Raw genomic sequence first — 16,055 nt, forward strand, 5'->3', positions numbered from 1 at the left:
TTTGGAGATAAGATGTGGGTATTCCTGGAAAAACCCAAGAGAATAAGCTGAAACATTACTACAACCAATATAAAAATTCAGTATGATCATGGGAAATAAAGATCCATGTATAGAAAGTAGTCTTTATGTACAAGCAACCACCAGTAAGAAGATATTCTTCAAGAGAAAAATTCCATTTATAACAGTAGCAAAGAAAAGCTTAAACTATATATATATATAAGCTATATGATTAAAATGTTATGATTCTTGAGGAAAACTGGACTTGAATATATAGAAAGACAATGTATTCTGAGACAGTAGTTTCCATGAAGATGTCAATTCTCTCAAGCCAACTAATTAATGTAATCCTTTCTCTGACCATCCCACACAGCCCCCCAAGAAAAACACAGAAAATTTTCTGAAACTAAGTTGATTCTAAGGCTTGTATGGAAAAAAAACAAGAATACACAGAAAAACAACAAAAAAGAAGAGTAATAAGGAAAGGCTAGCCTTACTTGATATTAAAACATAATATAAGTCCTTAATAATTAAAGTGGTATGTACTTGGCACATGTATAGACAGAGACCAATGGAACGGAATAAAAAGGGCCAAACAAGACATCCTAATATTGGAATTTAATATATGATAAAGATGGCAATACAAATGTGTGGAACAGAAATTAATTTCTTCCAGTGTCAGGCAACAATCCTCTAGAAAAAAACAGGCAAATGACAAGAACAGCGGAAGAAATACTAATGGCCTTTAAATATATGACAAGATTCTTAACTCCACCCATGTTATGGGTTTAATTCATATTTCAAAAATACATGAATTTTGGTCCCCACAAAATTTACAAGAATTCTAACTTCTGGTATCTCCAAATGTATCCTTATTTGGAGGCAGGATCTTTACAGAGGAAATCAAGTTAAAATAAGGTCATAAGCGTAGACCCTAATCCAATATGACAGGTGTCCTAACTGAACAAGGACAGAGAATGTGAAGACAATGTGAAGACACATAAGGAAAAGAAAGCCATTTACAAACCAAGGAGAGACGTCTGTGTTAAATTCTTTCCTCGCAGCCCTCAGAAGGTATCAACCCTGTGGACACCTTCATCTTGGACTTTCAGCTTCCAGAACTGTGAGACAATAAATGTCCAGTTTAAGCCAGCCAGTTTGTGGAACTGTGTTATAGCAGCCCTAGCAAACTAATATAATGAAAAAGAGAAATGTAAATTATAAAAGATATACTATATCTCAAGCCATCCTTATAGAGTTAAACAAGAATTCTGGACAGAAGTATGGTTAACTATTAGTCAGGCAGCACTTTGACCCACTTCCTTGTAACTGAAAGTTACTTAGCACTAGATACTGACCATTTGCATCCCCATTGTTCTTGTGGATGGGATTTCTGACATCAGAATCATAAGGCTTTTAAGAATTGCCTAAGCAGATCGTGAGTTCCAGCAGAACAGCTGACACCAACCAGTTTGAAGATCCCCACAAAGTAACCAATTCAGCATGAGAATATAGTTTCTTCATCTCCCTATACCACGACTTCACCTTGCACTCTTCGACCAATCAATGCTCTCCATACTCTGGCCCCCTCCAAAACCCTTAAAAATCACTAGTCACAAACTGCTCAGGGACACAGACTTGAGTTTTCATTCTGTTTCCTCATTTGGCAGCCCTATGATTAAACCTCTCTCTCTGCTGCAACCTGGACATATCAGAATCTCTGGGACACACTTAAAGCAGTGTGTAGAGGGAAATTTATAGCACTAAATGCCCACAAGAGAAAGCAGGAAAGATCTAAAATTGATACCCTAACATCACAATGAAAAGAACAAGCTAAGCAAGAGCAAACGCATCCAAAAGCTAGCAAAAGACAAGAAATAACTAAGATCAGAGCACAACTGAAGGAGACAGAGACACAAAAAACCCTTCAAAAAATCAATGAATTCAGGAGCTGGTTTTTTGAAAAGATCAACAAAATTGACAGACCGCTAGCAAGGCTAATGAAGAAAGGAGAGAAGAATCAAATAGATGCAATAAAAAATGATAAAGGGGATATCACCACTGATCCCACAGAAATACAAACTACCATCAGAGAGTATTATAGACAACTCTACGCAAATAAACTAGAAAATCTAGAAGAAATGGATAAATTCCTGGATACATGCACCCTCCCAAGACTAAACCAGGAAGAAGTTGAATCCCTCAATAGACCAAGAACAGACTCTGAAATTGAGGCAATAATTAAGAGCCTACCAACCAAAAAAAACTCCAGGACCAGACGGATTCACAGTCCTATTCTACCAGAGGTGCAAAGAGAAGCTGGTTCCATTCCTTCTGAAACTATTCCAATTAATAGAAAAAGAGGGAATCCTCCCTAACTCAATTTATGAGGACAGCATCATCCTGATACCAAAGACTGGGAGAGTCACAACAACAAAAGATAATTTTAGACCAATATCCCTGATGAACATCAATGCAAAAATCTTCAATAAAATACTGGCAAACCAAACCCAGAAGCACATCAAAAAGCTTATCCACCATGATCAAGTGGGTTTCATCCCTGGAATGCAAGGCTGGTTCAACATACACAAATCAATAAACGTAATCCAGCATATAAACAGAACCAAAGACAAAAACCACATGATTGTGTCAACAGATGCCGAAAAGGTCTTTGACAAAATTCAACAGCCCTTCATGCTAAAAACTCTCAATAAATTAGGTATTGATGGGACGTATCTCAAAATAATAAGAGCGATTTATGACAAACCCACAGCCAGTATCATACTGAATGGGCAAAAACTGGAAGCATTCCCTTTGAAAACTGGCACAAGACAGGGATGCCCTCTCTCGCCACTCCTATTCAACATAGTGTTGGAAGTTCTGGCCAGGGCAATCAGGCAGGAGAAAGAAATAAAGGGTATTCAATTAGGAAAAGAGGAAGTCAAATTGTCCCTGTTTGCAGATGACATGATTGTATATTTAGAAAACCCCATCGTCTCAACCCCAAATCTCCTTAAGCTGATAAGCAACTTCAGCAAAGTCTCTGGATACAAAATCAATGTGCAGAAATCACAAGCATTCCTATACACCATTAACAGACAAAGAGAGAGCCAAATCATGAGTGAACTCCCATTCAGAATTGCTACAAAGAGAATAAAGTACCTAGGAATCCAACTTACAAAGGATGTGAAGGACCTCTTCAAAGAGAACTACAAACCACTGCTCAAAGGAATAAAAGAGGACACAAACAAATGGAAGAACATTCCATGCTCATGGACAGGAAGAATCAGTATTGTGAAAATGGCCACACTGCCCAAGGTAATTCATAGATTCAGTGGAAAAAACTACTTTAAAGTTCATATGGAACCAAAAAACAGCCTGCATTGCCAAGACAATCCTAAGCCAAATGAACAAAGCTGGAGGCATCATGCTACCTGACTTTAAACTACACTACAAGGCTACAGTAACCAAAACAGCATGGTACTGGTACCAAAACAGAGGTATAGACCAATGGAACAGAACAGAGCCCTCAGAAATAATACCACACATCTACAACCATCTGATCTTTGACAAACCTGACAAAAACAAGAAATGGGGAAAGGATTCCTTATTTAATAAATGGTGCTGGGAAAACTGGCTAGTCATATGTAGAAAGCTGAAACTGGATCCCTTCCTTACATCTTATAGAAAAATTAATTCAAGATGGATTAAAGACTTAAATGTTAGACCTAAAACCATAAAAACTGTAGAAGAAAACCTAGGCAATACCATTGAGGACACAGGCATGGGCAAGGACTTCATGACTAAAACACCAAAAGCAATGGCAACAAAAGCAAGAATTGAGAAATGGGAACTAACTAAACTAAAGCGCTTCTGCACAGCAAAAGAAACTATCGTCAGAGTGAGCAGGCAACCTACAGAATGGGAGAAAATTTTTGCAATCTACCCATCTGACAAAGGGCTAATATCCAGAATCTACAATGAACTTAAACAAATTTACAAGAAAAAATCAAACAACCCCATCAAAAAGTGGGTGAAGGATATGAAGACACTTCACAAAAAACGATATTTATGCAGCCAACAGACACATGAAAAGATGCTCATCATCACTGGTCATTAGAGAAATGCAAATCAAAACCACAATGAGATACTGTCTCACACCAGTTAGAATGGCAATCATTAAAAAGTCAGGAAACAACAGATGCTGGAGAGGATGTGGAGAAATAGGAACACTTTTACAGTATGGTAAGGCTGTAAACTAGTTCAACCATTGTGGAAGTCAGTGTGGCGATTCCTCAAGGATCTAAAACTAGAAATACCATTTGACCCAGCCATCCCATTACTGGGTATATACCCAAAGGATTATAAATCATGCTGCTATAAAGACACATGCACACATATGTTTATTGCGGCACTATTCACAATAGCAAAGACTTGGAACCAACCCAAATGTCCAAAAATGATAGACTGGATTAAGAAAATGTGGCACATATACACCACGGAATACTATGCAGCCTTAAAAAAGGATGAGTTCATGTCCTTTGTAGGGACATGGATGAAGCTGGAAACCATCATTCTCATCAAACTATCACAAGGACAGAAAACCAAACACCGCCTGTCCTCACTCATAGGTGGGAAATGAACAATGAGAACACCTGGACACAGGGTGGGGAACACCATACACTGGGGCTTGTTGTGGGGTGGGGGTAGGGGGTGGGATAGCATTAGGTGACATATCCAATGTAAATGACGAGTTAGTGGGTGCAGCACACCAACATGGCACATGTATACATATGTAACAAACCTGCACATTGTGCACATATACCCTAGAACTTAAAGTATAATAATAATAAAAAAAAATCTCTTTTGTAAAACTTCTCTCCCTTACTTATATACATATCTATACACAAACACATACATACAGACCTATGATTTTTCTTTAATGGAAACGAGATCAATTATAAATATTGCTCTATAACCTATTTTTTAACTTAAAATATGCTGCCAGCACAAATACATTTACCTTGTTTGTCTTGAAAGGCTACACTGTATTTCATTGTTTGTATCAATGTTTATGTAACCAATTGTCTATTGATGGACAGATTATTTCTATTTCATTGTTAAAAATAATGCTATAATAAACACCAATATAGACATCATTTTTCTTTTTTTAAGTTTGTTGAAGTGAATTGCTGGGTGAAAGGGTATACAAATTTTAAGTTTTTATACATATAAAATTTCCTTAACTTATACAGCTACTATACGTTTACTTGTATAAAAATGCTAACTTTCCAACATTCTCACCAATGCTCATTATTATTAACTGTTACCTCTTTCCCAATTTGATAAAAGAAATACTTATATATAAGAAAAAGATGTTTTTTGTTGAGGTAATTTTCCTTTCTTCCTTCTTCCTGCTTTCTTTCCTTCTCTCCCTCCTCCCTTTGTCATCCTACTTCTCTCCCTTTAAAAAAAGTCATATCATACCACTTACAGAATATTTTCTTATGAATTGAAATAGTATCTTTATCTATACTAAATTATTATACATACATGGGTGTGTATAATGAACTTTTTGAACACACCAAGAAAACTTTTTTTTTTTAAAGGAAAACTTTTTTTTTTTTTTAAAGTCAAGATGAAACAATTTCACGTTTATATGAGACAGTTTATACATAATCATTTCGGCTTCCCTAAACAGTAAAGCTGAGGAAAATGAGAACTGTATTCTGAACCACTGGGAAGAATTATTGAGAGTATTAGCCAATATAATCTAGTGAAAGTCTCTAACACACTGACCCGAACACAATAGGAGTTCAGGGGGTTTTTTAAGAAAGAGTGAAGAATAGGGAGACACAGGCAGCACTGACAGGGAAAGAGAATTACAGGACAATCAAGAAGTTTGTATCAGCTTTAAAAAATAAATTCAGCACATTTGTTGAACACTTATGTAGGGCAATGAAATGCCAAGGTAGCCACAGTTTTTTTCATAAAAGGAATTGAAGCAAATCTAATCCAAGTCATTCTCCAGCCCATGATTAAACATACTAGAACCACAAACACGTGGGGAAACCTCTGTTATATATGAGATTAATTTTGGAGATAGGAAATGATATTTTTAGTTAGCTATGTAAAGCTTTTATTAATTTTTAGGACTTGCTCAAATTTTCACATTTAGGAAATTCAGTGCAATCTTAAAGACAAACACTCCTTTTACTTTTATTTTTCACCTCTATGTTGTGTCAGGAGACTAATGTTACACTATCTATCCATATAGAGTTATGAGCTGAAGCTGTATCCATGGGGAAACAGATTATCTATGTTTTAAACTTGTAAGCTTAGTCTACACAAAAATACACCTTTAAATTATGCCACAGACTTTCTTAAAGAAATTCTTAATCATTTTATAAATTCACTAAGAAATGAGTCTGTAGTCTATTCTAATCTCATTAATGCAACGCATGTTTCAGACATCACAACACGTTGATGACTTACTTGTATCTTGCTTCTTGTTTTCAAGATGATCTAATAGTTGTCTTATCTCAGCATCATACTCCACCCATTCTGGGACAATTCTGGCAGCAGCTTTTAGTTTGGATTCTTTTGTTTTGGGATTATTGCACTAAAAGTTTAAGTAAATTTTGTTAATGAAAGACCATGCTCCTGGAAACATAAGGACAATGCTGTGTCACTAGGGCAAACAAAATACATTTTATAAAAAGCAGAGTCCTACTAAGTACTGGAAGTTTAATACACACAGGATCAGGTGAAATGATATATCACAACTTATGTATGTAATAATTGCTTAATACAAATACCTCAATCAGAAATTTAAATAAAAATTGTTGAAAGACATTCTGATGACTCATAAGTCTGTCAAAAAAAAATTATGTAAAACTTTTTGACAAAAGATCTAATTACATTACCACTATGTAGAAGAACATAGCAGACTAGTGTGCTTTGTAGGCACAGTAGAAAAACATGGAAATGGCATCTCGGTTCTCAGGGTTCCAACTCCATATTTACTAGTAGTAGGATGTGTATGTATCACATAATTATGTGTGTGTGTAGGGTGTGTAGCTTAATTTATTCAACTGCAAAAGAAATTAAAATAGGAAAATCTCTAAGGTTCCATCAATACACAATCAGTTTAAACTATTGAGTACTACTATAGAGTTTCTTGGGAAATTAAAGTTAAAAGCAAAAATTATAGAAGGTTGATAAGAGTCTGACACACTATGTATCTGAAGGTACAGCTGAAAGGATCTGCTGATATATTGGACGTGAGCTGTAAGTAAAGAGAGGCATCAAAGAAAGACAAAGCCACCAGTACCTTTGGCTTGAGCAATATAAAAAATGGATTTGCCATTTACTGAGACAGAAGACAATGGGAGCAGTATAAACTTCATCAAGTAATAAAGGAAGCCCATTCACTATTTACAAAGAATTAAGGCAGGAAGCAACTTGAAGCTCACTTCTGGTGACATTTTCTCCACTTGCTTTCCTCTTATTTCTTAGGGGAAAGCTATTAGTCATGAGCCGTGAGCCTGTTGTCTTAACCCTTTCCTCACCAAATATTTTCAGTTGATTCATTATGGATTTCTTTTCCATAGTGACATATTCCTGAGGTAAGTGGACAACACAATTTTCCTTGCAGAAATTAACTTTATAGGCAATGTCTTCTATATAGTGAAGATAATGGGACTAATTCTTTTTTTAATTCTGTCATACTATTAAAAAAATAAAAATATTATGTTTTGTTTAGCTATTTGTACTACATTGGGTTTGTGTGTGTGTGTGTGTGTATGTGTGTGCTCATGCATACACTCTATAAGCTTTATTAGTGTTTCTTAACTGGGTAATCATGCCCCTCGGGGAGCTTTGGCAAAGTCTGGAGAAAATGTGTGATGGCCGGGGAGTGGTGGGGTGCTACTGCCATCTAGTGGACAGAGGCCAGAAATGCTGCTGAATACCCAACAATGCACAGGAAAACCCCTGTAACAAAGAATTCTCCACTCCTCAATGCCAATAGTACTGAGGCTGAAAAACTCTGAGATGGAAAGTTGAGAGAGTATAATGACATTCATAAACATTTTCATTCCCACCTTCAATATTATTAGTCATGCTCTTTTCTTCTGTTAGGCCATTTCCTTGGGAATTTTCTGCATTCTCTTTTCTCCTCCATGAAGAATAGCATGTTCTCTCATTCTACTCTTAGTGTTTCTATGAGGGAGACGGGCTGAACACCAAAATTTGTGCCACTTCTCCTTTTCCTGGGTATTGGTATTGCTATTGCTAGGAAGTAGCTGTCCATCCAGGAATGCCATTTCTCAGCTCCTGTTACATCTAGATATGGCCACGTGACCAACTCCCACCAAGGGGCCATGCCTTTAGGATTCAAGATATATGTTCTCCACACTTTTTTTCCCCTTCCCTCCAGATTGGTACTATCCAATACAAATGCAATGAAAACCATACACATAATTTGTGGGTTTTTTCACTAGAAAAATACTAAATTTTTCTAGTAGCCATGTATAAAAATGTAAGAGGAATAGGTGAAATAAATTTTAATACTATATTTTATTCAACCCAATATATCCAAAATACTAAGTCAACATGTAATCAATACAAAAATTAGTAATGAGATATATGTTATTTTCATTGTATTGAGTATTCAAAATCTGGTGTGTACTTTATACCTTACAGCACATCTCAATTCAGAATAGCAACATGTTAAGGGCTCAACAGCCACATAAGGCAAGTGGCTACTGCACTGGAAGAAGCAGTTACAGGTGGACAAAAAGTACTCCCTGAGACATGGCACACAGGAGGGCTACTCAATGACGGAGATATCCACTTAGGTCTGCTGCTGGAATGAGTATGAAGCCACTGAATTTTGGGGGTTTGTTATGGTAGCTCATGTTAGTCTAAGTACTAAAGATCCCAAAATGACCTACACCACTACTGTATGAGCCACAACAGAACCCTAACAACATATTAGTAGTTGTGTTCAATAATGTTCTTGGCCTCTCTTTATGAAATTCCCTTGCTTACCTCTTAAAAATGCCTTTTTATTTGTTTCTGCTATATTCTACCAACTATGATTACATTCTAACATGCTGGCATGCTATTTTTAAAATATGTATTTCTATACATGTCTGAAAAAGTTCCTATATTTTGTTTTCCTGCTCTTTTTTGTTCAAAATTGTGTGAATTCTAACATTTTAATAGCTTATTCGTCAGTGAAGATCTTGTAAACAATTTTCTACACTTAGCACATTAAAAACAATATACTAGGAAAAAAACTTATTATACCTACTAAAGACAAGGTAGTAGTGGAATATAAAATCTAAATGGACAACAAATAAATTACTTTGAAATATTTTATGTTTAGGAGAGTTAAACTGCACAGCATAAACTGCTTTAAATGAAAATCTAGGAAAAATAATCTCTTAAAAATAAGTAAGAAAAAAGCATGTATGATATATTTTAAGTAGACAAAATTGTCTTGTTTGCCTTTATTTGGGGGAAAATATTGGCAGGATAACTAAACTGAAGACATGTCAAGATGATAGCTAATCCACAAACATTTTCAGCTAGCTCTCAGCCCTTTTTTTTTGTTTGTTTGTTTTTTTGAAATGGAGTTTTGCTCTTGTCTCCAGGCTGGAGTGTAGTGGCGCCATCTCCGCTCTCTGCAACCTCTGCCTCCCAGGTTCAAGCAATTCTCCTGCCTCAGCCTCCTGAGTAGCTGGGACTACAGGCATGTGCCACCACGCCCAGCTAATTTTTTGTAATTTTAGTAGAGATGGGGTTTCATCATGTTAGCAACGCTGGTCTCGAAGTCCTGACCTGAGGTGATCCACCTGCCTCGGCCTCTTAAAGTGCAGGGATTACAGGCGTAAGCCACCGTGCCCAGCCCTCTAAGCCTTTTTTTCAAAAGTCCTTTTGCAGAAAAGAGTTAATACAGAAAGCCTGAAATTGCTATTCTTAGAAAGACCTGCTTGTAAGTTTGGCTCCTCGCTGGCATCTGGGAACACAGGGTTCAGGATGGTTCTCACCATTCCTTTATAAGAGTAACTCACTGTGTCTAAATTATCTGTGCAAAGGTGTTTATGCTAAACACTTGCTTTCCTCCTGAGTGCTGGAAATTTAGGTGTGTCTCAGGCAGACAGTGCTATATGGTCACCAGCCCCCAGTAAAACCCCTGGACACTGGGGTTTCTAATAAATGTCCTTAGTAGGTAATACTTCACACTGGTTGTGGAATCTCTTATTGCTTGAGGAATGAAGCTTGTCCCGTGTGATATCACAGAGAAAGGACTCTTGGAATCTTGCACCTGATTTTCTCTTTGCCCCATGTGCCTTTTCCCTTTGCTGACTTTGCTTTATATCCTTTCACTGTGATAAATCAAGCCATGAATATGATTATATTTTGCATCTCATGAATCTCCTTAGTGAATCATCAAACCTCAGGGTGGTCTTGGGGGCCCCCAAAATAACCCTATACTTGCCAACCTAAGTAAATGTGTAATAGACTGAACAGCAGAAGAAGCGAAGTAATACGTATGCCACTCCCTTTGTAAAACAGAAAGAAAATATTTCTATTTAAACATTTCTGTATCTGCTTACATACAAATGAAAACAAAGACACTCACCAGATCAATTGTTTTGGCTCTTTGTTTGGATTCATCATCACACCAGGTTTCACACCACAGCCAGTCTTGAGGAAGAGACTTAATGGCGACTTGGTAAATCATATTATTGGGGAGATCCTACAGAAAATTGTGATTTAATCATAGACGTATGAAATTTAGAGTCAGAAGGAAAGAAGCTGAATGAAGTAAGACATCAGTTAGACTGTAAACAGATCATAAAACATATGCAAATCTGAGATTTCTCTACACTTTAAAGCTTAAAATACCTAAGGTGATCCAATCATCTTGTGTCATGAATGAATCCATGCACTGGAATATACCTACATCTCTCCTAGACTCTACCCCTGGGAACAAGGATGAAGAAGGAGGCATAGAAACCTACCATTCAATAGTCCCCACAATGGACAGCCTCACTACCTCTATCTGCCTCTATTGCTCACATTATGCCTGCAATTACTGTTCATATTGGTCACCACAATGCTCTCTGGATTCTGAGGTGAATTTTCATCTCCCCATTGGAAACAATGATCCATGAATATTTTCCCATTTCTGCATGCTCAGAGCTCTCTAAGTAAAGATTGCTGGCATCTGGGTTAATGGATGTTTGACTGGCAAACTAGCCTAGTAAGTTAGAGACCTTTGGAGAGAATCAGACAAATCTTCCCCAGAGATATTTGTTTATATTCCAGGGGTGGAGTCCTTCCCTTCCTTTCCCTATAGAAGATCTGCTTATATTCAAGAGCAAAGGCATGTTCCTCTCTCTCCAAGAGTATGAAGGGTACTTGTGCTGGTTGTCCTACATAAGCTCCAAGATTCACAATTTTAAGGTTCTTCTCTCAACATCCCTATTAAACATCACACTGAAAGTCCTAGCAAATGCAATAAGACAAGAAAAGGAAAATGTATATAGATTGGGAAGGGAAAAAAACCTGTCACTGTTTGTGATAACAGGATTGTTTATGCAGAAAATCCCAAGAATCAAGGGAAAAAACTTCTGGAACTGATAAGCAATTTTAGCAATGTTACAAGATAAAAAGTTAATATACAAAAGTCAACTGCTTTTCTATATACCAGCAATGAACAAACATAATTTGAAATTTAAGAAAACACACCATTTACATTAGCACCGAAAAAGAGAAATACTTAAACATAAATCTAATAAAATATGTTCCTCAACAAAATGAAAACTACAAAATTCTGAGGAAAGAAATCAAAGAACACTGAAATACATGAAGAGATATTCTATGTTCACACATAGGAAGACTCCATAGTCAAGATAACAGTTCTTCCCAGATTTATCTATAGACTTAACACAATCCCAATCAAAGGCTTAGCAAGTTATTTTGTGGAGATTGGCCAACTGATTCTAAAGTTTAGGGAAAAAGGAAAAGATCCAGAATATCCAACACAATATTGAAGAATAAAGTCAGAGGGCTGACACTACCACACTTGAAGTCTTACTATAAAGTTACAGTAATCAAAACAGTGTGGTATTGGAAAAATAAGAGACAAATACATCAATGGAACACAATAAAGAGCCCAGAAATAGAAAATTACCCATACTTTCTGCTCATTTTTTTTGTAAACCTAAGACTGCTCTAAAAAAATAAAGTCCGTTAATCAAAGAAAGAAAAACCTTAACTGTCCCTTCTGACACCCTTAGTTCCTTGGAATCCCTTCCTTAAATAACCTGGCCTACCATATTATCTAAGCTACTAACTCAAATGGTTATATACTAGACCAAGTCTTCTATACTTTCAATTTCATGGTGCCACTCTCTGACCACCTCTTGATTTTTGGCTCACTCCACTGAGTACTCAGATATCAATATCCTTTGACCCCTTGGAACCTCCAATCAACTGATTTTACCACTATTTCACTGTCCCTCATTCCTTGATGTATTCACCCCTATATAGTTATTCTTCTGAATATACTCTCAACTGTCTTATTCTTCTCTCACTTAGTTGTACTTTCTTGACAAAGTCATAGTCCTGATTAAATCTCAATCTCTGTAACTGTTCTCATGGAACTCAACATGGCTGAGTTCCATGAGTACAGGACACACACACACACTACCCCCCATGCCGACTGTTTTTTCATTTTAACCTCCTGAATATAAATCTTAGGGGAACTTTAATTCTGTCAATTATATATATGGGTCTACTCTGTTGTCACTTAGCTGATCTTTAGCTGATTATTTCACACACTGTCCTCATATCCTTCCCTAACCTCCATGTACCTAATAATCTACTTTCTGTCTCTACGAATTTGTTTAGTCTGGACATATCACATAAGTAAAATTATACATTATCAGGTTTTTGTGTCTGGCTTCTGTCAGCACAATGTTGTCAAGGTCCATCTATGCTGTGACATATTTCAGTACTTCAATCCTTTTTACAGCCAAATAATATTCCACTATATGAATTTACAACATTTGGCTTATTCATTTGTCAACTGATGGGCATTTGGGTTGTTTCCATTTTCCAGCTGTTATAAACAATGCTTCTATAAACATTTGTACAAATTTTTGTTTGGACACATGTTTTCAACTCTCTTGGGTATATATCTAGGAGTGGAACTGCTGGGTCATATGTTAACTCTGTTAAACATTTTCATGACCTGTCAAACTGTTTTTGAACTTGGTACACTATTCTACATTCCAAATAGGAGCGTATCATGGTTCCATTTTCTCCATATCCTTGTCCACTCTTGTTATTGTCAATCTTTTTTATTGTAGCTATCATAGCGAGTATGAAGTGGTATCTCATTGTGGTTTTGATTTGCTATTCCTAATGACAATGGCATTGAGCATCTTTTCATGTGTTTATTGGACATTTGTGTATCACAGAAGATATATCAATGGCTAGTAAACACATACAATGTCTATTTACATAGACATATTTCGTATTTAAATGTCTATTTAAATAAACATATTAAAATCTCCAAATAAACACATTTAAATCTCTGCTTAAAGACTTAAATGTACAATGTAAAACCATAAAAACCCTAGAAGAAAACCTAGGCAATACCATTCAGGACACAGGCATGGGCAAAGACTTCATGACTAAAATACCAAAAGCAACAGAAACAAAAGCCAAAATTGACAAATGGGATCTATTTAAACTAAAGAGCTTCTGCACAACAAAATAAACTATCATCAGAGTGAACAGGCAACCTACAGAATGGGAGAAAATTTTTGCAATCTATCCATCTGACAAAGGGCTAATATCCAGAATCTACAAGGAACTTAAACAAATTTACAAGAAAAAAAACAACCCCATCAAAAAGTGGGCGAAGAATATGAACAGACGCTTCTCAAAAGAAGACACTTATGCGACCAACAAACATACGAAATAAAGTTCATCATCACTGATTATTAGAGAAATGCAAATCAAAACCACAATGAGTGGTTTTGATACCATCTCATGCCAGTTAGAATGGTGATCATGAAAACATCTGGAAATAACAGATGCTGGCAAGGATGTGGAGTAATAGGAACACTTTTACACTGCTGGTGGGAGTGTACATTAGTTCAGCTGTTGTGAAAGACAGTGTGGCAATTCCTCAAGGATCTACGACCAGAAACACCATTTGACCCAGCAATCCCACTACTGGGTATATACCCAAAGGATGATAAATCATTCTACTATAAAGACACACGCACATGTATGTTTACCGCAGCACTATTTACAATAGCAAAGACTTGGAACCAACCCAAATGCCCATCAGTGACAGACTGGATAAAGAAAATGTGGCAGACATATACCATGGAATACTATGCAGCTATAAAAAAGAATGAGTTCATGTCCTTTGCAGGATATGGATGAAGCTGGAAACCATCATCCTCAACAAATTAACACAGGTACAGAAAACCAAATACCACATGTTCTCACTCATAAGTGGGAGTTGAACAATGAGAACACATGGACACAGGGAGGGGAACATCACCCACTGGGGCCTATTGGAGGGCTGGGGGAAGCGGAGGGAGAGCATTAGGACAAATACCTAATGCATGTGGGGCTTAAAACCTAGATGACAGGTTGATAGGTGCAGCAAACCACCATGGCACATGTATACCTACGTAACAAACCTGCACGTTCACCACGTGTATCCCAGGACTTAGAGTAAAATAAAAAACACGGAAAATAAAAATAAAAATAAACATGCTTAAATGTCTATTTACATCCCTTGACCACTTTGTAAATTGGTTATTTTCCTTTGCTATTGAGTTATGGGAGTTCTTGAGAGCTTGTTTGGAGGTTCTGGCAGGGAAGCGCAGCTACTAGTGTACCCTTGACTGAAGATTGGTCCTCCTCTATTGGGGATGGTCATCTTCTTCAACCCAGCATGCAGTTTCGGGAGGAACACACATGGAGCAGTGAGGGAGGAAGAGGTCAGTTGCGTAGCCAGCCAGATCAGCTGAATCAACCCTGGTGATCAATGGGGTGACAGATGTAGCAGCCAGATTGCCCTCACATCCTACAGGAGTTCTTTATATGTTCTGGATTTTAGTATCTTGTCAGACACATGATTTGCAAATATTTTGTCCCATTCTAAAAGTTGTCTTTTCCCTTTCTTGTGTCCTTTAAAGCATACAAGTCTTTAAATTTTGATGCTAATTTATCTTTTTCTTTTATTGCTTGTGCTTTTGGTTTTATAACTTAAAAACATTGCCTAATCCAAAGTCACAAAGATTTACACCTATGTTCATTTCTAAGAGTTTTACGGTTTTAGTTCTTACATTTAAATCTTTGATCCATTTTGAGTTAATTTTTATATATGATGTGAGGTAGGGGTCCAACTTCATTCTTTACAAGTGAATTTCCTGTTGTCTAGCATAGTTGTTAAAAAGACTATTCTTTCCCCATTAAGTTGTCTTGGAATGCTTGACAAAAATCAAATGAGAGTAGAGGCATAGGCTTATTTCTGAACTCTCAATTCTATTCTAGTGACCAATATGTGTAACCTTATGCCAGTACCACTACTGGGCATAAAGAATTTTACATATGTATATTTCTGTGAAACCATCACATAATTAACATAATTGAATATAGCTATCACCCTTAAGACTCCCTGTGTCCTTTTGCAATTGTTCCCTCCTATCCTTCCTCTATGCACCCAATCCAGTCCCCAGGTAAGCATGAACTGCTTTTTTCACCTTGGATTAGTTTGCATTTTCTACAATTTTATATAAATAGGATTATATAATACAAATACTTTAGGTCTGACTTTTCATATAAATTATATATAAATCTATATACTTTTGGTATGGATCAGCATTGTTATTTTTAGAGTCATCCATGTTGTCTGTGTATAAATAATTCATTCCTTTTTACTATTGAGTAGTATTACATTCTATGAATATACCATATCTTTTTATCTATTCTCCTCTTGACAGATATTT

At 36.5% G+C, this 16,055-nt stretch overlaps 1 protein-coding gene across 14 annotated transcripts in view; it reads right to left on the reverse strand.

Moving 5' to 3' along the window:
• Nucleotides 1–16,055, reverse strand: part of UGGT2 (UDP-glucose glycoprotein glucosyltransferase 2) — a 251,822-nt gene that overhangs the window by 24,855 nt on the left and 210,912 nt on the right. For all 14 annotated transcript variants that reach the window (XM_047430471.1, NM_020121.4, XM_011521097.2 and 11 more), the window contains 2 exons: nt 10,652–10,768; nt 6,493–6,619 (listed from right to left, as the gene is read on the reverse strand). In XM_047430471.1, the coding sequence (XP_047286427.1) occupies nt 6,493–6,619; nt 10,652–10,768 (244 nt within the window). The remainder of the gene's footprint in view (nt 1–6,492; nt 6,620–10,651; nt 10,769–16,055) is intronic.

Source organism: Homo sapiens, chromosome 13 (genome assembly GCF_000001405.40).
Source record: "Homo sapiens chromosome 13, GRCh38.p14 Primary Assembly".
NCBI classification, from domain to species: Eukaryota; Metazoa; Chordata; class Mammalia; order Primates; family Hominidae; genus Homo; species Homo sapiens.